The 25,721-nt window shown below is 37.2% G+C and overlaps 1 protein-coding gene across 4 annotated transcripts in view; it reads right to left on the minus strand.

Annotated features, from left to right (window-relative positions):
• Positions 1-25,721, minus strand: part of CCDC88A (coiled-coil domain containing 88A) — a 132,015-nt gene that overhangs the window by 82,237 nt on the left and 24,057 nt on the right. For all 4 annotated transcript variants that reach the window (NM_001254943.2, NM_001135597.2, NM_018084.5 and 1 more), the window contains exons 3-5: positions 18,700-18,808; positions 4,736-4,805; positions 2,374-2,432 (exon numbers count right to left, since the gene is read on the minus strand). In NM_001254943.2, the coding sequence (NP_001241872.1) occupies positions 2,374-2,432; positions 4,736-4,805; positions 18,700-18,808 (238 nt within the window). The remainder of the gene's footprint in view (positions 1-2,373; positions 2,433-4,735; positions 4,806-18,699; positions 18,809-25,721) is intronic.

A 25,721-nucleotide genomic window follows, 5' to 3' on the forward strand; every position in this document is an offset into this window, starting at 1 on the left:
ATCATTCTGGCACCACAATAGATGCAAGTCTTAAGGGCTCTCAAGTAAAAGCATAATTCTGCTATGACTACATGGACATAAAATATATATAAAGATGGGTCTTTAAGTTTCTTGACAAGCTGATATCATATCAAAAACCAAGGTCTGACACCCTTTCCATCTCCTCATTTCTAAAAAACCTTGAATGATGTTAACATAGGTTAGAATGATGGTCTCCTTGAGCCTTTGCTTTGTTTTCTACAGTTGATAAAACCTATTCTCTCTTCATATGAAAAAAATTAGGCCGGGCATGATGACTCAAGCCTGTAATCCCAGCACGTTGGAAGGCCGAGGCGGGCAGATCACCTGAGGTCAGGGTTTTGAGACTAGCCTGGCCAACATGGTGAAACCCTGTCTCTACTAAAAATAAAAAATTAGCCAGGTGTGGTAGCACACATCTATCATCCCAGCTACTTGGTAGGTTGAGGCAGGATAATCACCTGAACCTGGGAGGCAGAGGTTGCAGTGAGCCAAGATAATACCATTGCACTCCAGCCTGGGCAAAAAGAACGAAACTCTGTCTCAAAAAAAAAAAAAAAAAAAAAAAAAAGAGAATTAACTTGCATATAATTAGTCTTTCTTTATTCTCAGATAAATTTACCCTTTGGGGCCAGGCAGGGTGGCTCATGCCTGTAATCCCAGTACTTTGGGAGGCCGAGGCAGGAAGATCACTTGAGGTCAAGAGTTTGAAACCAGCCTGGGCAACACAGTGAGGCCCCATTTCTTAAAAAAAAAAAAAAAAAAATTAACCAGGCATGGTGGCACATGCCCGTAGTTCCAGCTGCTCAGGAGCCTGAAATGGGAAGATCATTTGAACCCTGGAGGTCAAGGCTGCAGTGAGAGGCGTGATCATGACACTGCACTCCTGCCTGACAGAGTGAGACCCTGTCTCAAAAAAAGGTCCTTGGTTCTGCTCCATTCCTACTGTGAATTCTAGTAATCAGCAATAACCACCAAGCAATAACCAGCAATAAAAACCATATTTATGCTATTGCTATGTAATCTAAATTTACGCAACATTCACCAACACAGGGTATTTTTTAAAGCAAATATAGTACATAAAGGCTGTAAATACGAGTTGTGTTTCTAACTCAAAATCTGATGACCAAATTAGAAGACCATATTCAACTTAATATTTAATCAATTGTGAAGTAAACACCTGTACATTACACAGCATGAAATTTTAATAACATATATTATGTAAGATTATAGCTCCCAAGCAGTCAGCTCTAAAAGCCAACACTGGGACATATAATTTCTGTTATATGTATGTAAAAAAATTACTAGTAATCATATTATTTGTTTATAAATAACCTCATTCCACAAAGAAGTGAGACAGTTTAAAATGACACTGTAATAATTCATCCAAAAAATGGCTGAAATGAAAAACATAGTATAATAGATTTTGAAGTCAGAGCAGAGTTGACTCACAGTTCTTTGGACTACTAGCAATATGACCTAAATTTAAACTTAGAGTAATCATCCTGGTTTGCCTGGGACAGTCCCAGTTTACACATGCCATTCCACTGTAATTATTATATGTATTTAAAACAGAAATGGGGTTTCATTATGTGCCCAAACTGGTCTCAAACTCCTGGCCTCAAGTGATCCTCCCATCTTAGCCTCTCAAAGTGTTGGGATTACAGGCATGAGCCACCACGCCTAGCCCACTCTATAATTATTAACAGTACCTTCTTTGACTTTCGCAAGTGTCCCAATTTCGATAAAAACTTAAATATTACCCTACCCAATCTCCTGACCTGAAAGAAGATATTATGAGAAAATCTATGTAAGGGATAATATCTGACACAAAGTAGGTATTCTATAAATCATAGCTATTATTATAGTCATTGATCAAAGAGCAATATAATAATAAACAAGATTCCTAAAACACTTTTCATAAATTCTGCCTCCTTTTTTACCTTTTTTTTCTTTTAAATAAATTCTGCCTCCTCCCTTCCCTTCTCTTCTCCCTTCCCTTCTCCTGAAACATACACGAGTACAACATAAATCACAAGGATGTTTTGGGAGCGGTTTTTAAGGGCACCTCTGAAAAAACCTCAAAAATTTAAGGTCATTATAAGCCTCAGAATAAGGAAAAGAGTAATTAAATATTTTAAATGATATGACTATGATAATGTAACTAAATTCTGAAATAAAATAAGTGGTTTTTTTCAATGTAATCTCCTTAGGAGGTTATACAGTTATTGAAAATTTTCTAACATGGACTTTGAAAACCAATGGTCCATCCTTAAGTCTTTCAGAAACTACAGCCTGATAAAAATATATAAAGAGGTTGTTAAAATGAAAATATGAAAAAATATTTTAACTTACCTGAACTGCACAACCCAATAAAAGTAAAAGCAGTTTTTTAACTTCTTCTGTGCCTTGTTCTAAAATAGAAACAATTATTAAGGACAACATTCTGCTATATTTTCAACTCTATTATATTTGGAGAATCACTTCTAGAGGTAATTATGCACAGTAACTTGAGTGAAGGATTCAGTCTAAGCATATGTAGTGGAGCATTCAAAATAGCAGCTCTGTGTATGTACACGGTGGTAACAGCAGAAGAAATGGGGAAGAATATCAATTTTGAAGGGCTAATGGATAAAGAGGTTTCAAGGCTCTGTGCAACAAGTATGCTAACTATGAATCTACTCCTTTTCCATAAATGATTGTACTACCCCAGCCTGACAAATCAAGAACCTGCCAAATCAGGTTGATACAGGGACATGCCACAAAGGTAGCCAAAATGGCTCCTAATAGGTTTGGCTCCTCTTAGGCCTATTAGTGTTTTCTTACTTAAAACACAGATCTTATGATTCATCTCCTTATAAAATTTAAATGGTTTTCCACTGTGCAAGTTCATGAAGACCAGAATCTTAAATGTCTGTTACAGTGAGGCTGTTAAAATAAATGTATATAACAAGTCAGGTAAAAGTTAACAATCTATAACAGAAATGGAGAGAATATTCCCTGTCCAACAGCATTCAACTAAGATTTTCTTAAAATATTCAACTGGAAAAAAATCACTTCTTTGGGCCAGATTTTCACCACTGGGCCAATCTGTCTATGAAAAAGTCCAAATCTTCTTATCAGACATTTCCTTCTACTCTCCATGAAACAACCTACTTTCTAGCTATGCTGAGCCATTAATCACCATTCTTCCCAAATATGCATATATACAACTCCTCTGCCTTAATACTACTCCCTCTGTCTGTCCTCCTTCCCCAACCTCCTCATCCCCCTAGTGAACTACTTGCTAATCACAATCCTAGGCACAGCTCTTATCATCTCTGTGTAGTCTTCCCTGATCCAATCATCAATGGTCCCCCACTCTCACTTATACGTCAACTTTAAGAATAATTAATGGCTCCAAATTTTATATGCCAGAACATTTGGTACATATTTTTACTTCATACTAATTATTACATGATTTCCCCATAATCTGTGTATCCTTCACCAAACCATAAGAGCTTCTAGAACATAGACCATTTATTTCCACTCCTGGTCCCAGTAACTTGGTAGGTACTTACCAAATGTATGTACGATGGGAAACAATTCCATCCTACACGCAATTTTTTTCATTTTTAAATTTATATAATCAAACATCCCATGGTATCTCTAAAAACTAAGCTGCTAATTCACACATCTAATTAATAGTTTCCTCTATAAAAATAGCTACTTGATTTTAGTTTTTATTTTGGTTTTGTTTGTTTTGACTGAGAGGGGGTATGGGCTGAAGAAAATACACTAATTTGGATAACATGTAGACTGTAAGGATAAGCCCATTGTTGAAACTGTTAGGTAGCTGCTAATTTCCTCAACTGTTCAAAAATTACAATTCTAAAATATCACATTTAAAATGTGGTATAAAGGGCAGAACATTTTGAAGAAAAAATTAAATGATCTAAGAAACTGCCTCTCATCTTTCCATTCAGAAGAAGTTTAATATAAATTAAAACATATCAGACTGGGCGTGGTGGCTCATGCCTCTAATCCCAGCACTTTGGGAGGCCGAGGCGGGCAGATCACCTGAGGTCAGGAGTTCGAGACTGGCCTGGCCAACATGGTAAAACCCTGTCTCTACTAAAAATACAGAAATTAGCATGGTGACCACGCCTATAATTCCAGCTACTTGGGAGGCTGAGGCAGGAGAATCGCTTGAACCCAGGAGGTTGAGGTTGCAGTGAGCCAAGATCATGCCATTGCACTCTAGCCTGGGCAACAAGAGCGAAACTGCATCTCTAAATAAATAAATAAATAAATAAAACATATCAATCAGTAAAACTTAAGATTCAAACAATTTTGGCAATGGTAGATAGTAGATATATGAATAGAAACCTGGAAATTATTTCAAAATCATTTCTTTTCTAAGGTAATATTCTTTTAAGTTTGTAACTACATCATCTTCTATACTTCTCTATAATGAGACACTAAAAATCATCACAAAAGTATCTGTTTGGTATAGTAGAAAAAATACTGAATTTAATGTAAAATTTATGTCTGGTCTTACCTATAACTTACAAATATTCTAAGCTTGTCTCTTTCTATAAAATGGAACATCACCTCCAACGTCTACAGTTGTGAAAAATCTAGTGAGTTAATGTATATAAGCTCTTAGTAAAAAATAAACATCATAGTATTACACAAAGGTTAGACATTACTTTCACAGCTTAATTTTAATACTTACCAGAAAAGGGATTTTTGCCAATGATTAAGACATTTGGCAACGACATCATGATCAATTGCTGCAAAGTCTCCTGTAAAAAAATATCCAACACTTGTTATATGGGTAATGCTAACTAGATAATTATTCATCAAGCTATAACTTATGATTTGTACATTCTTCTGTAGGTGTGCTATATTGCAATTAAACAAATATGGAAAAAGTTATATAAGGTCTTAAATCTTTTGTAACTTCAATGAATTAAATAACTAAAATTATAATACCAGATAGACTTCAGTTAATAATATATGAGGCTGGGTGCGATGGCTCATGCCTGTAATCCTAGCACTTTGGAAAGCCAGGGTGGGAGGATCACTCAAGATGAGCCTGGGCAACATAGTGAGACCTTCATCTCTACACACAAACAAATAATAATAAAAAAGCTTTAAAAATATCAGATGTCCCCAAATTAAAGCATTCAAGTCAAAATGGTCTAATTATTATTTGGAAATCTGAAGTTTTAGGTGCTAGAAAATTAAGAAACATTCCTCAGTAAAAGATCGAGCAAAATTAAGAAACATTCCTCAATAAAAGTTCGAGCATGTGTGCTCTTTTTCTTCTTGTTAGTTCTCACTGAGGAAACTAAAAATACATCAAATTTATAAGTACTGTCACTGTACTATATATATATATATATATATATATATATATATATATATATATGTATGTATGTATAAATATGTTGGGTTTTTTTTTGAGATGGAGTCTCGCTCTGTCAGCCTGGCTGTAGTGCAGTGGTGTGATCTTGACTCACTGCAACCTCCGCCTCCTGGGTTCAAGCAATCCTCCCGCCTCAGCCTCCCAGGTAACTGGGACTAGAGGCGCCTACCACGATGCCTGGCTAATTTTTGTATTTTTAGTAGAGATGGGGTGTCACCATGTTGGCCAGGCTGGTCATGAACTCCTGACCTCAAGTGATCCACCCGCCTTGGCCTCCCAAAGTGTTGAGATTACAGGCATAAGCCACCACACCAGGCCATATTTTTAATATAATAAATAAGAGAGCTATATTTTTAAAATGTCAACTGATATTAAAATTAAGAAACCTAACTGCTTTATTAAAAATGCTGTCTAATGATCATTTCATGAAAGTCAGTTCCTCCTCAGTGAAACATTATTTCTCTCCTCTACAACAGATGTTTAACTTCTATAAAACTTTAGTTACAAGAATACATGTAGATTCTGAACGTACAAGGTGATTCAGAAAGAACTGAATTCTTTCTAATTCTTCAATTTAGTTAATACATCAAGTATGCACCTTCTGTTTATACCACCTCTTCTTTGAAGAAATGAAGAAATACATTGTATCTGCCATTACAACCACTGACACTGATGATATGCAAAGGGTCTGGGATGAATTAGACTACAGGATGGATGGGTGCCATGTGATAATTACTGAATCTTTGCAATATTAAGGAATAACTATGACAGATTCTTCATAAATTGACTACATGTTCAGATATAACTAGTTGCTGAGGAATACGTTTTTGAAGGTATTCAACTCTTTCTGAATCCTTTATTTAACTTAATACTATGATGAGAAAGCAAATAACCATGAAAAATAACTATAAAAAGTTAACTTGTGCCACTTTTTAAAAATTTCTAATTTTAGATCCACTAGAGCACTTACCCATGGTCAGTGGGTGGCATGACACCAGATGTTAATTAGAATTCATCTCTTATCTATAATTCTTTATAGATATATACAAGAAAGTTTCAAAAAAGTTTTCCTCAGTATTATATTAGCTCTTTAAAAAACTATTGCCAAAATATGCCTGCATTTAAAGAAAAGTACATACTCAATATATGCATCATGTTAGAATAAGCATCGAAAATTGCTAAAATCACTTATTCCAGAAATGATATAGAGTTTGGATATTTAATGAATTAGTTTTCCAATTAAAAGCAAGTTATCTCAAGAGAGAATATGCTATAACTATGTGTGTAACAGCTAAATGGGCTTAAAAGAATAAATTTCTGCTTCATTCAATTTTTTTTTTGAGACGGAGTCTCGCTCTGTCACCCAGGCTGGAGTGCAGTGGCGCGATCTTGGCTTACTGCAACCTCCGCCTCCCTGGTGCAAGCAATTCTCTGCCTCAGCGTCCCGAGTAGCTGGGATTACAGGCGCCCACCACCATGCCTGGCTAATTTTTTTTGTATTTTTAGTAGAGACAGGGTTTCACCATCTTGGCCAGGCTGGTCTTGAAGTCCTGACCTCATGATCCACCTGCCTCGGCCTCCCAAAGTGCTGGGATTACAGGCATGAGCCACCGTGCCCGGACACTTCATTCGAATTTTTAGTTTCCTTGCCTTGAAGCAAAATTATGAGGACTGTCACTATAGACTTTTTTTTTTTTTTTTTTTTGAGACAGGGTCTTACTCTTGTCACCCACATGGGAGTACATCGGTGCAATCACAGCTCATTGCAGCCTCGATCTCCCAGGCTCAAGCAATCCTCCTGCCTCATTTGTTTTTATTTTTTATTTGTTATAGAGACAAGGTCTCGCTATGTTGCCCAAGTTGATCTTGAACTCCTGGACTCAAGCAATCCTCCTGTCTTGGCCTCCCAAAGTGGTGCGATTACAGGCATAGGCCACCGTGCCCAGCGAGATTTTTTTTTTAAATCATAAATAAGAGAGCTGTATTTTCTTAAATCACTGTTTTGTCTATATCCTACTTTGTGAAGATAACCTAAGTCAGACGAAAGAGCCTTCAAATTCACCTTCATAAAGAGAAGTTTTAATTTTTTATTTATTTTTATTTTTATTTATTTATTTAGAGACAGAGTCTTGCTCTGTCGCCTAGGCTGGAGTGCAATGGCATCATCTCGGTTCAATGCAACCTCCGCCTCCCAGGTTCAAGAGATTCTCCTGTTTAGGCCTCCTGAGTAACTGGGATTACAGGCGCACGCCACCATGCCTGGCTAATTTTTGTATTTTTAGTAGACAGGGTTTCACCATGTTGGTCAGGCTGGTCTCTAACTCCTGACATCGTGATCCGCCTGCCTTGGCCTCCCAAAGTGCTGAGATTACAGGTGTGAGCCACCGCACCGGGCCGGGAAGCTTTAAATTTTAACAGACACTGAATTTTTTTTAAAGCTTTATCTTAAAGATGTTAGAGATAAAACTCATTTACGTCACTTATTTTTGACTAACGAGTCAAAATTGATGGATCAACCGGAAACAACAACTTACATTCCCAAGGCAACTAGTTTTACTGACTTACTATGTAACATTCTATGTTGGTACACTGTTATAAGCAAAATTGTCCCAATGGATAGTAATCTTCAATGTGGTCCACTACCTCTTTCCTCCACCTTCTTCCTCAGCTGATTCTCCACTTCCTGCCTACTCTGTTTCCCCATGCTCTACTGTTAATTTAGTCCTCCCACAAAGATGAAAGCAATCTCACACACTCTTTACACCATATGGTATCACCAAAGACTTTTTGTTAATACAATTTCATCTTTACGCTATGAAGTCTATGTTTGGATGATGCAAATTGCTAAATTCAAACTTACCTCCATATCATCTAAAAATGTACTCTAGTATAGTAGAATCTAAATGACCAGTACATTGTATTTGGGTAGAATGAAGTCAAAACACCCAGGCTTAAATTTTAGCTCCATGATGTACAATACATATGCCTTTTTTGGGAGAGGGTAGGAAGTGAAACAAAAGTAAAAAGTTTCAAAAATGATGATAATTTAAAAACCTTAGAGTTAATGAGGAAAAACTCTATTTTCAAGTATTAAGTTATGTCTAAAAGTACTAACATTAGGTTGAAAAAAGGCAGCTAAAATTATACAAATTTTTAAAAAGCAAATTATTCTAAAATGTCTTATTGGTTACCCTATGGGTTCTTCAGAGGATTTTTTATACACATATACTTTTTTTTTTTTTTTTTTTTTTTTTGAGACGGAGTCTCGCTCTGTCACCCAGGCTGGAGTGCAGTGGCACGTTCTTGGCTCACTGCAACCTCTGCCTCCCAGGTTTCAGCGATCCTCCTGCCTCAGCCTCCCAAATCGCTGGAATTACAGGTGCCCGCCACCACATCCAGCCAATTTTTGTATTTTTAGTACAGAGGGGGTTTCATCATGTTGGCCAGGCTGGTCTCAAACTCCTGACACTGAGTGATCCACTCACCTTGGTCTCCCAAAGTGCAAGGATTACAGGCATGAACCACTGCGCCCGGCCTGGATTCTAGCTATATTTTTGTAAAAAGTCTTTTTATTTCCCCATTCCAATTTTATGAGTAATATTAAAAAATATACAAGACATAAAAGAGAGTAGATGCTTAAAAACTGACTGCTATTGTTAAGATTTATTATATCATCATAGACTCCCCAGACTCAACTTAGCTCTAAAGAAATTCATCATTAAAGTATTAAAGAAATGGAAAAAGAATATATAAATGAGCCCAAGATGAGTTTACTAAGACGAGGAACAAATTAACAAACAGGTCAAAGTTGATAATGCATGTATATAAACTAATGAAGATACTTCAATTTGTTAACTCAAATTATAAGAAACCTATAAAAATAAACGGAGAAATAAAGTATTTCAGCAATTCAATTGAAAGAGAAAAAGGTTTTGAGAAAATCAGGGCAGTCATTTATTCAACAAATATTTATTGAATATCAATTATCTGCCAGACATTCTAGACACTGAAAATACAGCAGTGAATAAACAGAAATCCTTGTTCTCATGGAATTTACATTTTAGTAAGAGAAGAAAGACAATAAAACAAGTAAGTGTTTTTGGTGATAAATGCTAAGGATAAAAATAAAGCAGAGGGGCTGGGCACAGCAGCTCACGCCTGTAATCCCAGCACTTCGGGAGGCTGAGGTGGGTGGATCACCTGAGACCAGCCTGATCAACATGGAGAAACCTTGTCTCTACTAAAAATAGAAAATTAGCCAGGCGTGGTGGTGCATGCCTGTAATCCCAGCTACTCAGGAGGCTGAGGCAGGAGAATTGCTGGAACTCAGGAGGCATGGGTTGCGGTGAGCCAAGATTGTGCCATCGCACTCCAGCCAAGGCAACAAGAGTGAAACTCCGTCTCTAAATAAATAAATAAATAAAAAAGCAGAGGCCATGTGCAGTGGCTCATGCCTGTAATCCCAGCACTTAGGGAAGTCAAGGCGGGTGGATCACTTGAGGCCAGGAGTTCGAGACCAGCCTGACCAGGATGGCAAAGCCCTGTCTCTACTAAAAAAAAAAAAAAAAAAAAAAAAAATAGCTGCATGTGCTGGCACACACCTGTCATCCCAGCTACTCGGGAGGCTGAGGCACAAGAATCACTTGAACTTGGGAGATGGAGGTTGCAGTGAGCCAAGATTGCACCACTGCACTCCAGCCTGGGCGACAGAGCGAGACTCCATCTCAAAAATAAATAAATAAATAAAAATTAAGCAGAGAATGAGAAAGAGTATTGGTGGAGGTGGAGATGAGGAGAACGTTAAAATTTTTAAAGATATGCAAGTATTCAAATATAGAGATTTTGAATGTTTTCAGGGCCATTAAAGCAAAGTTTCACTAAATAAGTGGAAATTCTATTCTGGCGTGAAGACATTTCAGAAAGATTTGGAGAACTACAATCATTAAGAAAAGACAGAAAAAAGAAAGAACTGGCAGAGATTATGGTAATAGGAAAATAATAAGCAGATGTTCCTTGAAAGATATTACAATTTCATTTCCACCACATGTTAGCTGGCTTTGTATAACTTTTTTCATTTAAAAATAGTATATTAACCATTTTTAAAAATTTTTTCTTTATTTTTTTGAGACAGAGTCTTGCTCTGTCACCCAGGCCAGAGTGCAGCAGCATGATCTCGACTCATTGCAACCTCTGCCTCCTGGGTTCAAGTGATTCTCCTGCCTCACCCTCCCAAGTAGCTGAAACTACAGGTGCATGCCATCATGCCCAGCTAATTTTTTGTATTTTTATTGGAGACAGGGTTTCACCATGTTGGCCAGGCTGGTCTCAAACTCCTGACCTCAAATGATCGCTTGCCTTGGCCTCCCAAAGTGCTGGGATTACAGGCATGAGCCACTGGGCCCAGCCAACCACAGTTTTTAGTTGACCATCTAAAACCCCTTTTTATTGATATATAGGCATGTACCGTGTAATGACATTTTTGGTCAACAATAAACCATATATATGATGGTGGTCACATAAGATTATAAAACCATATTTTTACTATACCTTCTCTATGTTTAAATGCACAAATACCATTGTGTTACAACTGCCTACAGTATTCAGTACAGTAACATGCTATACAGGTTTGCAGCCTAGGAGCTATAGGCTACACCATATACCGTAGGTGTGTAGTAGACTATATCATCTACATTTGTGTAAGTACACTCTATGATGTTCGTACAATGACAAAATTGCCTAATGACACATTTTTCAGAACATATATTTGTTGTTAAGGTACACAAGACTGGCTGAGCATGGTGGGAGGCTGAGGCAGATGGATCGCTTGAGCTCAGGAGTTTGAGAACGAGGCAACATGGCAAAACCCTGTCTCAACAACAGCAACAACAACAAAATTAGCCGGGTGTAGTGGCATGCGCCTGTATTCCCAGCTACTAGGGAGGCTGAGGTGGGGGGATGGCTTGAGCCCAGGAGGCGGAGGTTGCAGTTAGCCAAGATTGTGCCACTGCACTCCAGCCTGGGCAACAGAGTGAGACCCTGTCTCAAAAAAAAAAAAAAAAAAAAAGTGCACATGACTATACAGACTATACATTACAAATTTTTGTGAGTTAAAGCTTATGCTGCTAATGCATTGTAAGAAAGACTACTTCACAAATATGCCAGATATAAACATTATTTAGTTACTATTCAAAGATAATTTAAATTAGCCTTTCCTTCTTCCAAGAAATTATCCATAATTCTTTCTTCACAGTAAGAAGTTAACACTTCTGGCAAAGGTCAGGCCTCACTTCGCTTTCCTGAATCACCACACAGAGTAAAACACTGTTACTAAAACTGCATAATTCTACAGAATTAAAAATATGTTCAAAGAATTCTAAAATACACAGAAATGACAGTCCCTCTTTTGAGACTCGTATAATCTACTTCTAAAATTCAGTACATGACAACATTTATCATACTATTACATATCTGTCAGTTTATCCATGTTACTAATGAAGAGAATTAAGCCTATTTTATCATATTTTAGTAGACTATAGGAAAAATTAAATCAATGGCATTAAAAGGAAAGAATACCTGACCAGTGTCAAAAATATGATGGAATATAAAACATTTGTTTTATAACACACATAGAATCTCATTTTCTTGGCTACTGAATTTTATTAACACTCCAAATGTTGCTTATTATAACAGACATTAAAGAAAAACCTACAAAGTATCTATTTTTTTAGAAGTTAAAGAAAAACCTAAAAAGTGTCTATTTTCTGTAGCAACTGGATTAATGGTACTGGAATCTGTTCTTTGTTTTTGATACTAGTGACATCATACCATACAAACATTTCCTAATAAATTTCCTAATTGTAACATGTTCTTTCCTTTGCAGCCTCAAATGGTTCAGAGCATTATTTTAGTGGTGTTTGAACAACAATGTTCTTCATTTAATACTTATTCAAACTGCGGCCAATATAGTCACACCAAACACTGGCTATGACAGGGTTCTATAGACAACTAAAATTTGTTTACTTGTAAATGCTGTCTCTGATACTCAAATTCACCATCTCTCCCTTATTCACAGGGCTAAAAATAACTTTAAAGAAAAATAAATTTTTTAAGAGCCTAGGTAATTTTACATAACAGCTATAATTTACTTTATTTTCTGACTTGAAAACTTTTGAATACTCATTTGCAAGACAAAAAGGTGTTTGCTACGGATCAAGTGATTATTTGAAAAGGTCTGAATTGCCATTTAACCATAATGAAGTATATCTTTGATAAACTTTCTGATAATCTAATGTTACCACTTATTTCTCTCATGACCTCTCATATTACTACTTCATTAGTCTTATATTATTAATCACAACAGAAATTGTTTTGCTTAGTTTTTTACTCATCTATTATTCCTCTACTAGTACCATAGTTCCATGAAAATAGGGACATGGTATGTCCTATGCACCACTGTAGCACCAGTACCAGGTAGAATATCTGGCATTCAAGAAACGGGAGAGGGAAAATGTGAATGACATTAGAATTTGTATTGAGCTTTTACAGGTTCTAAATCATAAAAATGAAAAAAAAAAAAAACAAAAGAGTACTGACATTTAAATTTACCTATCATTACTGAAAAGATAAATTGAAATAATCCTCCCTCCAACAATCATCTTAGGGTATTCTGTCAATATTCTTTTCTCCCTGGGAATCATCTTTACAAGATGACCTTGATGCTTACCAACCTATCAAAAAAATTTTTTGGGAAACATACACTTTTGAATTTTAACTTATCCAAATTCACTTTCCCCTTTGTGAGTCAGAATAATCAAAATGTACTAAAATGGCCCGGCACGGTGGCTCATGCCTGTAGTCCCAGCATTTTGGGAGGCCAAGGAGGGAGGATCACCTGAGGTCAGGAGTTTGAAACCAGCCTGGCCAACATGGTGAAACCCCGTCTCTATTAAAAATACAAAAAAAAATTAGCCAGGTGTGGTGGCAGGTGCCTGTAATCCCAGCTACTCAGGAAGCCGAGGCAGGAGAATCGCTTGAACCCGGGAGGCGGAGGTTGCAGTGAGTCAAGATTGTGCCACTGCACTCCAGCCTGGGCAACAAAGCGAGACTCCGTCTTAAAAAAAAAAAAAAAAGAAAAGAAATACTAAAATACTAAATACTAAAATACTTCGCCTCAAATACATCTTCTCAGGGGCATATGACATACAAAAAATTTAAGTTTTCTACAGTCGTTCCCCAAAATCTGATTTTTCTAAGAGAAGGTAATTTAAGGGCTGATGAGAATTCCATTGATTTGGAAAATATTAACTTGCAATGTGTCATATATTAAACCACACCCTCTCTAATATAATAAGAACAAAAAAATTATTTCAGTAAGTCTATTAACTGTATATATAAAATGTCTGACCTATTTCTGAAGACAATTTAAAGTATTGGTTGGTGCGAAAGTAATTGCGCTCAAGACTACAGTGACCTATGAGCTACGACCATGCCACTGCACTCCAGCATGGGCGACAATACCAGACTCTGTCTCAAAAAATTAAAAAATATAGCATAGTGACACACATGTGTAGTCCCAGCTACTTAGGAGGCTGAGGCGGAAGGATTGCTTGAGCCCAGAAGGTCTTAGCTACAGTGAGCTGTGACTTAGGCAACAAAGACAGACCTTGTTTCAATCAATCAATAAAAAATGTAAACACATAAAAACATAATTTATAAACACATAAGGAAAAAAAAAATCCAGGTGGGGCAGAGGTTGCAGTAAGCCGAGATTGCACCACTGCACTCCAGCCTGGGTGACAGAGCAAAACTCCATCTCAAAAAAAAAAAAAATCCAGAAGTGTATATATATTCAGGTGATAACAGTGCTAATTTCCTGGCACTAGAACTATGTCTATATTATCTATTTTTTTTCTAATTTTCTACATTACAACAATATTGCTTCTATATGAACTTGCTTAAATATACATATTTAATTATATATTTAATTATATATTGAATATTATATATAAATTATATATATATACATATATACGTATATATGTGTATATATACACATATATACGTATATATGTGTATATATACACATATATACGTATATATGTGTATATATACGTATATATATGTATATATGTGTATATATACATATATATATATATATATTTTTTAAAGACAGAGTCTCGCTCTGTCGCCCAGGCTGGAGTGTAGTGGTGTGATCTCCGCTTACTGTAACTTCTACCTCTCTGGTTCAAGCAATTCGTGCGCCTCAGCCTCCCAAGTTGCTGGGATTACAGGCACGCACCACCACACCTGGCTAATTTTTGTATTTTTAGTACAGGCAGGGTTTCACCACGTTGGCCAGGCTGGTTTGGAACTCCAGACCTCCAGTGATCCACCCATCTTGGCCTTCCAAAGTGCTGGGATTACAGGCATGAGCTACCGCGCCTGGCTAAACTTGCTTAAAATAAAGGTGATTCAGGGTTGGTTGCACAACAAGCAACAAATCTGCTCTGAAGCAATGCATCCTTGACTTGAATACAAAGAATTGGCACAGATAAAGTCCCCCCAAAAAATGAGTTCACAATTAAAACACACACATATCACTGCCACCCCCACCACTGCCACTACTACTATCACCACCACTACCAAAAGAAACAGCAAGCAGAAAACAAAGGACAGATCCAGATCTGTACATATTTCAGATTTCTGAATAATCAGATATGAAATCTAAAACGGAAAAATTTTAAATATCTGAAGAAAAGAAAATGATTAATGAGCAAAATGAAAAGGTAATGTAAAAAGAACCAAATCTTCCAGAAATGAAAGATATAATCAATGGGTTAAACAGAAGATTTGACACAAATATGGAGTGAATTAGTAAATTAGAGAGTTCTGAAAACAAGACTCAGAATGCAGCACAAGCTTAATAAATAAAAGTTTAATAAGCAAGAAATAGAGTAAGAAAGTCTAACATATATCAATAAAAATATTTGAAAGATACCAGATTAGAACAAATATTAGAAGAATAAATACTAAAAGTAGCTTTGAAAGAAAAAAGACAGTCTAGCCGGGCGCGGTGGCTCACGCCTGTAATCTCAGCACTTTGGAAGGCTGAGGCGCGTGGATCATCTGAGGTCAGGAGTTCGAGACAAGCCTGGCCAACATGGTGAAACCACACCTCTCATAAAAATACAAAAATTAGCCGGGCCTGGTGGCACGTGCCTGTAGTCTCAGCTACTCAGGGGCCTGAGGCAGGAGAATCCCTTGAATCCGGGAGGCAGAGGCTGCAGTGAGCTGAAATTGCACCATTGCACTCCAGCCTAGGTAACAGAGTGAAACTCCATGTCAAAAAAAAAAAAAAAAAAAAAAAAAAAAAGACAGCTTAAGTAACAAAAATTAGAGAGCTAACTTCTCCAGAGCAAAAAGAATCCAGAGAGGCCAGGCATGGTGGCTCACACCTGTAATCCCAACACTTTGGGAGGCCGAGGCAGGCGGATTACCTGAGGTCAGGAGTTCAAGACCAGCCTGACCAATATGATGAAACCTGTCTCTACTAAAAATACAAAAATGAGCCGGGCGTGGTGGCATGTACCTGTAATTCCAGCTACTCAGGAGGCTGAGACAGGAGAATCACTTGAACCCAGGAGCCAGAGGTTGCAGTGGTCAAGATCATGCCACTGCCCTCCAGCCTGGGCAACAAGAGCAAAACTCCGTCTCAAAAAAAAAAAAATACAGAGACAGAAGAATTAAGTGTGCAAAGTACTGACAGAAAAATAATTGTCAACCTAAAACTGCATACTTAAAAGTATTTCATCCTAGTGCAATCACTCACGCCCATAATCCCAACACTTTGGGAGGCTGAGGCAAGAGGACTGCTTGAGCCCAGACGTTCAAGACCAGCCTGGGCAACATAGTGAGACTCTGTCTCTTTTTTATTTTATTTTTTGTAGATTGTATTTTATTTTATTTTATTTTATTTTTTGTAGATGGAGGTTTGCTCTTGCTGCCAAGGCTGGAGTGCAACAGCATGATCTCGGCTCACTGCAAACCCTGCTTCCTGGGTTCAAGTGATTCTCATGCCTCAGCCTCCTGAGTAGCTGAGATTACAGGTGCCCACCACCAAGGCTGGCTAATTTTTGTATTTTTAGTAGAGACAAGGTTTCGCCATGTTGGACAGGCTGGTCTCGAACTCCTGACCTCAAGTGATCCGCCCACCTCGGCCTCCCAAAGTGCTGGGATTACAGGTGTGAGCCACTGTACCCAGCCTTCTGTCTCTATTTAAAAACTAAAACAAACAAAGAACTATCTTCCAAAAACAAGAGTGAAATAAAGGCATTTTCAGACAAATATTCTCAAAGAAAAACATGCAGCTTGAGCTAAAGAAAAAGGGCTGGGCGCACGGCTCATGCCTACAATCCTAGCATTTTGGGAGGCCGAGGCGGGTGGATCACAGGAGGTCAGGAGTTCGAGACCAGCCTGGCCAACATGGCGAAACCCAGTCTCTACTAAAAATACAAAAAAATTAGCCGGGTGTGGTAGTGGGCACCTGTAATCCCTGCTACTCGGGCAGCTGAGGCAGGAGAATTGCTGGAACCCAGGAGGCGGAAGTTGCAGTGAGCTGAGCTCGTGCCACTGCATTCCAGCCAGGGCAACAGATTGAGATTCCATCTCAAAAAAAAAAAAAAAAAAAAAAAAGAAACATTGGTTTTATTTATTTAATAGTACTTCTCAATATTTAATTTGTAGGGTAAAGAAAAAAACCCGAAAATACAAGACAAGAAAAGCTTAAAAGTCATAAAAGAGAATGACTAGAATTAAAACATTCTAAAGTCATAGCACTATTCCATAAAAGGGTAAAGATACTCATTAATTTTGGCCTTTCCTATGTTTAGGTATAAAATGTATGATTTTGAAAGTCACCTCTGAAAAAACAGGAAGAGTGAAAAAATTTTAAACCAGGAGAAAGGAAAAACATGTAGAAACAATTACTGATAGGCCAGGCATGGGGGCTCATGCCTGTAATCCCAGCACTTTGGGAGGCTGAGGGGGGCAGATCACTTGCGGTCAGGAGTTTGAGACCAGCCTAGCCAACATGGTGAAACCCTGTCTCTACTGAAAACATAAAAATTAGCTGGACACGGTGGTGCACACCTATAGTCCCAGCTACTCAGGAGTCTGAGGCAGGAGAATCGCTTGAACCCAGGAGGCAGAGGTTGCAGTGAGATGAGATTGCGCCACTGCACTCCAGCCTGGGTGACAGTGAGGCTCCATCTCAAAAAAAAAAAAAAAAAAAAGAAAAAGAAAAAAGAAAAAAAAATTGGAAAAGAGACAATTACTGATAAATAATCAAATTCTTCAGGAAGATTTAACAATTTTAAATTTATTTGCACCTAATAACAGGTTCAAAGTCTATAAGACAAAATTTGATAAATTCATCATCATATGGGATATTTCAACTCCTCTTTCTCAATAACTAATCACTCAAAAGACAAATCAACAAGGCTGTAAAAGATTGGAACAATACAATTAACAAACAAGGTTGCTCTCACTCTGCGCCCAAACAATTGGAGAATACATACTTTTTCAAGCACACATAGAACTTTAAAGAAAACTGACAACGACATACTAGGCCAAGCTAAGTAATTCTTAACAAATATCAAAGAATCAGTATTATACAAACCACATTCTTTGACCAAAAATCAAAAGCAAAAAGGTTACTTGAAAAATACCATGTTCAAAAATTTAAAAGCATACTTCTAAGTAACTCGTAAGTGAAATAAATCATAGCAGAAATTAGAAAATGCATAGAAATAATCATCTTTTAAAATACGCCATACCAAAATTTATGCAATGCAGATATAGCAATTTTGAGAGGTATATTGAAATCCTCAACAATGTTCATATTTAAAAACGAAAATATGCATCCAATTCAGGTTTTTTTTTTAAAAAAAATGGAAGTACACTTTTCAAAGGCATAATTCAAGAAGTCTAACAACAAAATGTTACACTATGCAAGTTCTCAGGAAACTGGGACCTGATTTTTAAAACATAAAATACAATAGTCATTTGTAACATTAGAAAATTATTAAATGCTTGCTTAAGCCTTTAACATTCATAAAAAATAAACTATCTTATTTACTACTCTAACTCTAGCAAATAGATCAGAACCTAGCATATAATAAGCGTTTAAATATTTGTGAGATGACTGATACTAAATAATACAAAAATGTAAGTAGTTATTAAAACCCCAGATTTTTAAAAAGAGCACTTACCTGGTAATAAAATTTTATCTGTCTCACCAAAATGGATAGATTGTGCATTCTAAGTGAGGCATCATTATTGACTTTTTTATTTACTCTCTGACTCTCCAATTTAGGATTACTGTAAGAAATACAAAAATACTTTAAAATTACATAAAATACTACTATCAATCTATATATAATTAAAATTAATCATATAATACTTTTTTATTTAAATAAATTGTGTGCTCATCTGCATTAACAGAGATGGTCCAAAAGGGCAGATTATTACTTTGACATGTATTCCGTGCTTCTAATTAATACAAATGCAACTGATTTCCCAAAGCAAGAACAAAATTAATTTCAAACCTAAGTCAGATGTTGCCTTTCATTGTCATGTTGCCACTCCACATTCCTGGGATGAATAACTTACTATTTCCTTTGAATATATAGTTCTATCACACAAAATAAATCCATTTAAAATATGGGCTAATAATAACCAATAAATGTTATTTCTCCTCACTGGGTAATAGGGATTATATTTGAACAGGCAATGTCCCAGAGAAATTCAAGGTTAAAGTGGATGACACAGGTTAGTACTTTTATTTTGGGTAAAATTGTAGATTCAATGAAAGCAAAGGGCTCAATAATCCTGAGGCAGCAGAAACTGCAGAAGAAAAATAGTCAAGTCAACCATGGTTTAGAATGGGAAATTGCGGCACCTCCACACAAGGATGCAGGAAAGTCAAGAAATCGACACCCATCCAACAGGAAATAGAAACTGAATAGAAACGCCTCATTCTTTAATCTGTTCCCTTTCTACACAGTCCATTGCATTCCTAATGCCTTCAGTTCCTTCCCTAAACAGATTAGAATCTATGGTGCTTTATTTCCATAATTCTCAAACTTTTAGGTCTCAAGACCCCTTTGTAATCTTAATTGATGACTCCAAACAATTTTTGATGTTGTGGGCTATCTTTAATTAATACTTAGTGTGTTAGGAATAAAGACTGAGGTAGGGCACGGTGACTCACGCCTATAATCCCAGCAGTTTGGGAGGCCCAGGCTGGTGGATCACCTGAGGTCAGGAGTTCAAGACCAGCCTGGCCAACATGGTGAAACCCCATCTGTATTAAAAATACAAAAATTAGCCAGGTGTGGTGGCATGCAACTGTAGTCGCAGCTACTTGGGAGGCTGAGGCAGGAGAATCACTTGAACCCAGGAGGCAGAGGTTGCAGTGAGCCAGGATCGCACCACTGCACTCCAGCCTGGGCTACAGAGCGAGACTCAAAAAAAAAAAAAAATAAAAAATAAAGATAGAACATTTCAAAGTTATTTATGTATCAACTCACTTTAACAAAATAATAAACCCACTACAGGCTAACAAAAACCAAACAAAAACAACTTAGAAAACTGAGTGGTATCGTTTTACTATTTTTGTGTATCTCTTTAATGCGTGGTTTAACTTTTAAAAAACAGATTCTTATCTTTGCTTTTGCATTGAATCCACTGCTTATTATTTTGGTTCAAGTATATTAAGACATTTCACCCTCACACGTAGTTAGAAGTGGGAAGACCCTATGGATCCCCAAAAGGATCCTCCATCCATACTCTGAGAACCACTGCTTCAACTATTTGCTTTCCACCACTCCCAATAACTTGATTCTTTTGTCCCCTGACCACATTCTTAATCCCCAACCTTGGATCAATTCAACCACTTACGCTGAGATTACTCAAGGGACTAGTTGAGAAAATAATGCAACCAAACTGAGCTATTAATAAAATATGAAGGGGAAGCTATTACAAAAAGGAGGAAGATACCCTCTTGCCATAAAAAACTAGAAAACTGGACAAAGCATGAAAAAACTATTTTCAGACTTTGGACAGCAGGTAATGCAAAGCTAGGTTCTCTCTAGTAAGGCACTGAGGTGCTTTCCAGAATGAGGTACAGAAAAATGGGTAGCCCAAGTCTTGCTGAACTTGAGGAGACAAAGCTGGAGTTCATGGATGCTAAACTGACACATTCAGAAAAGAATACCAAAGAAAAGGGAGCTACACTAACAAAGGGCTCCAAAAATCTGCCTTTAAGATTTTGGCTTTGGCTTCACACAGGCATGAATGTAGTGGCTCATGCCTGTAATCCCAGGACTTTGGGAAGCTAAAACGGGAGGAATGCCTGAGGCCAGGTATTCAAGACCAGCCTGGGCAATATGGTGGAAGCCTGTCTTGAAAACAAAGCAAAACAAAAAACCAAGAAAATTTTGGCTAAACACTAAATTGTGCATGTATAACCTAAAACTCCACAAGGCTAAGCAAAGATCAAATACAAGAAAGCTGTAAGCTAAACAATTCTCAGAGCTCACAATGTAAAGAGAGAAATTTGAGTTCTGACAAGTAGAGTGGAGTAGACTTAATGAACATCCAGAACATACAGCAGAGACCGCAGAAGAGTCATGTGTTAGAAGGAGGACTAAATCAGCAGCTGAGTAAAAGCTATTCAAGAACCCCACCCCCAACAAAACAAGTCTTGAAAGGATCATGCTGATTGCAAGTAACTTGACAACCTGCCAAAACAAAGTTTGTCACTCTAAAAGGACAAGGTCCAGACACTCCAAAATATAATCATTACAATGTCCAGCATAAAATAAAAAAATTAATAGACACAAAAGATCAGGAAAATGTGATCTATAACCAGGAAAGAAAATGGAAACAGTCAACAGAAACAGACCCAGAAATGAAAAAGATCATGGAAATAACAGACAAGGACTTTCTACTAAAGGATTTAAAGAAAGACATGAACGTTAAGTAGGAAGAAATGTAAATTATGTTTTGAAAAACTCAAATGGGACTTCTGAAGCTGCAAAATACAACTATTTGAAATGAAAAATTCACCGCAGGAGCTTAACAATGGATTAGAAACTGTATAGCAAACGATTAGTGAACTTGAAGACATTACAATAAAAACAGTCCAAAGAAGCATGGAGAAGAGGGGAGAAAAAGCTGAAATGAATGAACAGAGACTAAATGATCTATGGGGCAATATTAAACACATATTACTACATAGTCCCATCTTAAGAATCCATTCATGTTTCCCTTCTTGTCCCAATAATGAATGGATGTTCTTTATAGGAAATAGATTCAGTTCAGAATCGCACTTGGCATGTGGTAGTCTGAACTGCAATCTTTAATCTCTTTCAGGCTGGAGGTTTCTCAGCCTTTTGTTGATGTACATGAACTAGACATTTTAGAAGGGTTGCAGGCCACATATTGCATAGAATGATTTTCAGTTGGGTTTGTCTGATAAGACTGTGTTGACTCATAATTAAGTTTAGGATATATATCCTTAACAGGAAAAACACAGAACAGATGTTGTGTTCTTCTCAATGCATCCTATTAATATATGGGCCTGGCTTTGTTTCTGTGTTCTCCTTTATGTTTCACTGGTCTACCTACATATTCCCATGTCAACAGCACCACCTTAACAACTACAGTTATTTACATCTTGATGTGTAGTAGGGCAAGACGCCCTGACTAAATTGTTTTTTTCAAATTTATCTTAACCATTCCTGCTCCTTGATGATTTTTAGGATTAGTTTGTCATATTCTGCATGAGCAAAAAACAAAACCTATTAAGATTTTGACTGAAATTGCACTCAATCTACAAATTTATTAAGAATAAACTGACAGCTCTATAGCATTGAGTCTTGCCACTGATAAGCATGGTGTATCTCTCTACATTCATTCAGCTCTTCTTCAAAACCATTTTATAATCTTCTCCAGGAAGGCCTTTTATTAGATTTATTCCTAGATGCTTACAGTTTTTGCCATTAAAGTTAATGTAATATTTTTAAAATGTATTTGCTGATAGGTTAATGCTGATATGTGAATGCTATCATTTTTTGTTTACTGTTCTTATCTTTAGCAACCATGCTAACCTTTCTTATTCTAACAGGTTGTCTACTGGTGCTCTTGAAGGTCCTCTTGAATTTAATTTGTAGCTTTTCCATACTGATAATCAATTGTGCCAACACCATTTACTAACGAGCTTACATTTCTCACTGATCTCAGATTCCCACATTAAGTGTAGGTCTCCTTTTGGAGTCTATTCTGTCCCACTAAGCCATTTGTCTATTTCTGTGTCATTAAAACCTTGTTTTACTATAGCTTATTACTATAGCTTTATTATGATCTCAATTCTACTAAGACAAGCCCCTTTCCTTTGTTGTTGTTTTTTTTCTATACCGTCTTCATTAATCGAACATAGTGATCTTTTCTATCATTTTAGGATATTTATAAAGTTCTACGAAAAACCTTGTTGGGATTTACTGACATTAGTAATATTAATTTGATTAAAAACTGGCATTTCATTTCCATTGGTAAAATTTTAAAATCTCCCCACAGAACTCTTACATATTTAAGTTTTTTTTTCTTACTTGGGTAAGAAAGTTTTTGTTGCTTTGTGAAATGGATTTTTTTTTCTCTTACATTGTCTATTGGTGCTATTGTGTAACAGGAATATAGAGTTTTGATTTTGGTTTTTTGGGTTTTTTTTTTTTTTTTTTTTTTTGCGACAGAGTCCCAGTCTGCCAGGCTGGAGTACAGTGGCATGATCTCAGCTCACTGCAACCTCTGCCTCCAGGGTTCAGGTGATTCTCATGTCTCAGCCTCCTGAGTAGCTGGGACTACAGGCACGTGCCACCACGCCCGGCTAATTTTTTTTGTATTTTTAGTAGTGACGGGGTTTCACTATATTGGCCAGAATGATCTCAGCCTCTTGACCTCAAGTGATCCACCTACCTCAGCCTCCCAAAGTGCTGGGATTACAGGCATGAGCCACGATGCCCAGCCAAAACTATAGAGTTTTTGAATGGTGAATTTCTAATTAACCACCTTTCAAAACTTAGTTTACTCAGTTCATGTTCTTGGGTTTTCTAGGTTAAAAAAAAATCACACCATCAGTAAAGGACAGTTTATTTCCACCTTTTCAATCTTGCATTACATTTCTATTTCTTTACTTGCTGCATTAACAAATAGAAATGGAGACAGCAGATATCCTTCTCTTGCTGTTCTCTAATAGAACTGCATTTAATGTTTCACCATTAATGCATGATGTCTGCTGTAATTTTCTGATAGATACCATCTATGAGACATTCCCTTCCATTTCTATTCAATGTCTGAATGGGTGCTGAACTTTACCCAGTATTATTTATTTCTTATTTTTTTTATTTTTTTGAAGGCAGTCTCCCTCTGTCACCCAGGCTGAGGTGCAATGCTATGATCATAGCTCACTGCAGCCTTTAACTTGTGAGCTCAAAAAATCCTTCTCAGTCTCTCAAGTAGTTGGAACTACAGATGTGCACTACCACACCCAGCTAACTTAAAAAAAAATGTTCTCATTGTTCAATTCCCACCTGTGAGTGAGAACATGCGGTGTTTGGTTTTTTGTCCTTGCGAGAGTTTGCTGAGAATGATGGTTTCCAACTTCATCCATGTCCCTACAAAGGACATGAACTCATCATCATTTTTTATGGCTGCATAGTATTCCATGGTGTATATGTGCCACATTTTCTTAATCCAGTCTATCATTGTTGGACATTTGGGTTGGTTCCAAGTCTTTGCTATTGTGAATAGTGCTGTAATAAACATACGTTTGCATGTGTCTTTATAGCAGCATGATTTATAATCCTTTGGATATATACCCAGTAATGGGATAGCTGGGTCAAATGGTATTTCTAGTTCTAGATCTCTGAGGAATCGCCACACTGACTTCCACGATGGTTGAACTAGTCTACAGTCCCACCAACAGTGTAAAAGTGTTCCTATTTCTCCACATCCTCTCCAGCACCTGTTGTTTCTTGACTTTGAGAACACATGGACACAGGAAGGGGAACATCACACACTGGGGACTGTTGTGGGGTGGGGGGAGGGGGGAGGGATAGCATTAGGAGATATACCTAATGCTAAATGATGAGTTAATGGGTGCAGCACACCAACATGGCACATGTATACATATGTAACAAACCTGCATGTTGGGCATATGTACCCTAAAACTTAAAGTATAATAATAATAAAAAAAAAAAGAAAAAAAATGTTTTTGTTTTTGTTTTTGTTTTTTTTTGAGATGGAGTCTCACTCTGTTGCCCAGGCTGGAGTGCAATGGCACAACCTCCACTCACTGCAACCTCCACCTTCTGGGTTCAAGTGATTCTCCTGCCTTAGCCTCCCGAGTAGCTGGGATTACAGGTGCACGCCACCACACCTGGCTGATTTTTGTATTTTTAGGAGAGATGGGTTTTCACCATGTTGGCCAGGCTGGTCTCAAACTCCTGACCTCAAGTGATCTGCCTGCCTCAGCCTCCCAAAATGCTGGGATCACAGGCGTGAGCCACTGTGCCCTGCCTAAAAAATGTTTTATAGATGAGATCTCTCACTATGTTGCTCAGGCTTGCCTCAAACTCCTGGCCTCAAGTGATCCTCCTGCCTCAGCCTTCTAGCTAGCAAGGATTTCAGGCACAAGCCACAGCACACCTGGCATATCCAATTTTTCCTACATCTACTCCCATCTGATCCTTCTCCATTAATATGTTAATGTAGTGAGTTACACTGTTACATCATCCTCAAAGTCCTAGACTATATACTCTCTCAGCTCCACTCTATGGTATAACTATTCCCTTTTATTGGTATATAACTCTGTCACAGGTCTTCCAATACTTGGTCTTTTTGACTCCCACTTTCTCACTAGGTTCTAAGTTCCTTGACAAGAGGGACCATATCTTCTTATTCATGTTTTTATTTCTAAAAATTACCATATTTCCTAACACAAATATTGTCTGAATAAATAAAAATAAGAATAAACAAAGACTAAGCATAGTGTTTTTTAAACCATTGCTTTCTATCGAAAGTTACGAGCTGACAACCTCCAAGCTAACAACTCAGCTGGCAGCCTGGAATAGGTACTTTCATTAAGCTGTGTCTCAAAAATCAGTTGACTAATAGAGTCCTAAACTACAATTTGAGATCTGCAGAACAAGGAAGACTATTAGTAAGGTAAGCT

The sequence above is a fragment of the Homo sapiens genome, chromosome 2 (genome assembly GCF_000001405.40).
Source record: "Homo sapiens chromosome 2, GRCh38.p14 Primary Assembly".
NCBI classification, from domain to species: Eukaryota; Metazoa; Chordata; class Mammalia; order Primates; family Hominidae; genus Homo; species Homo sapiens.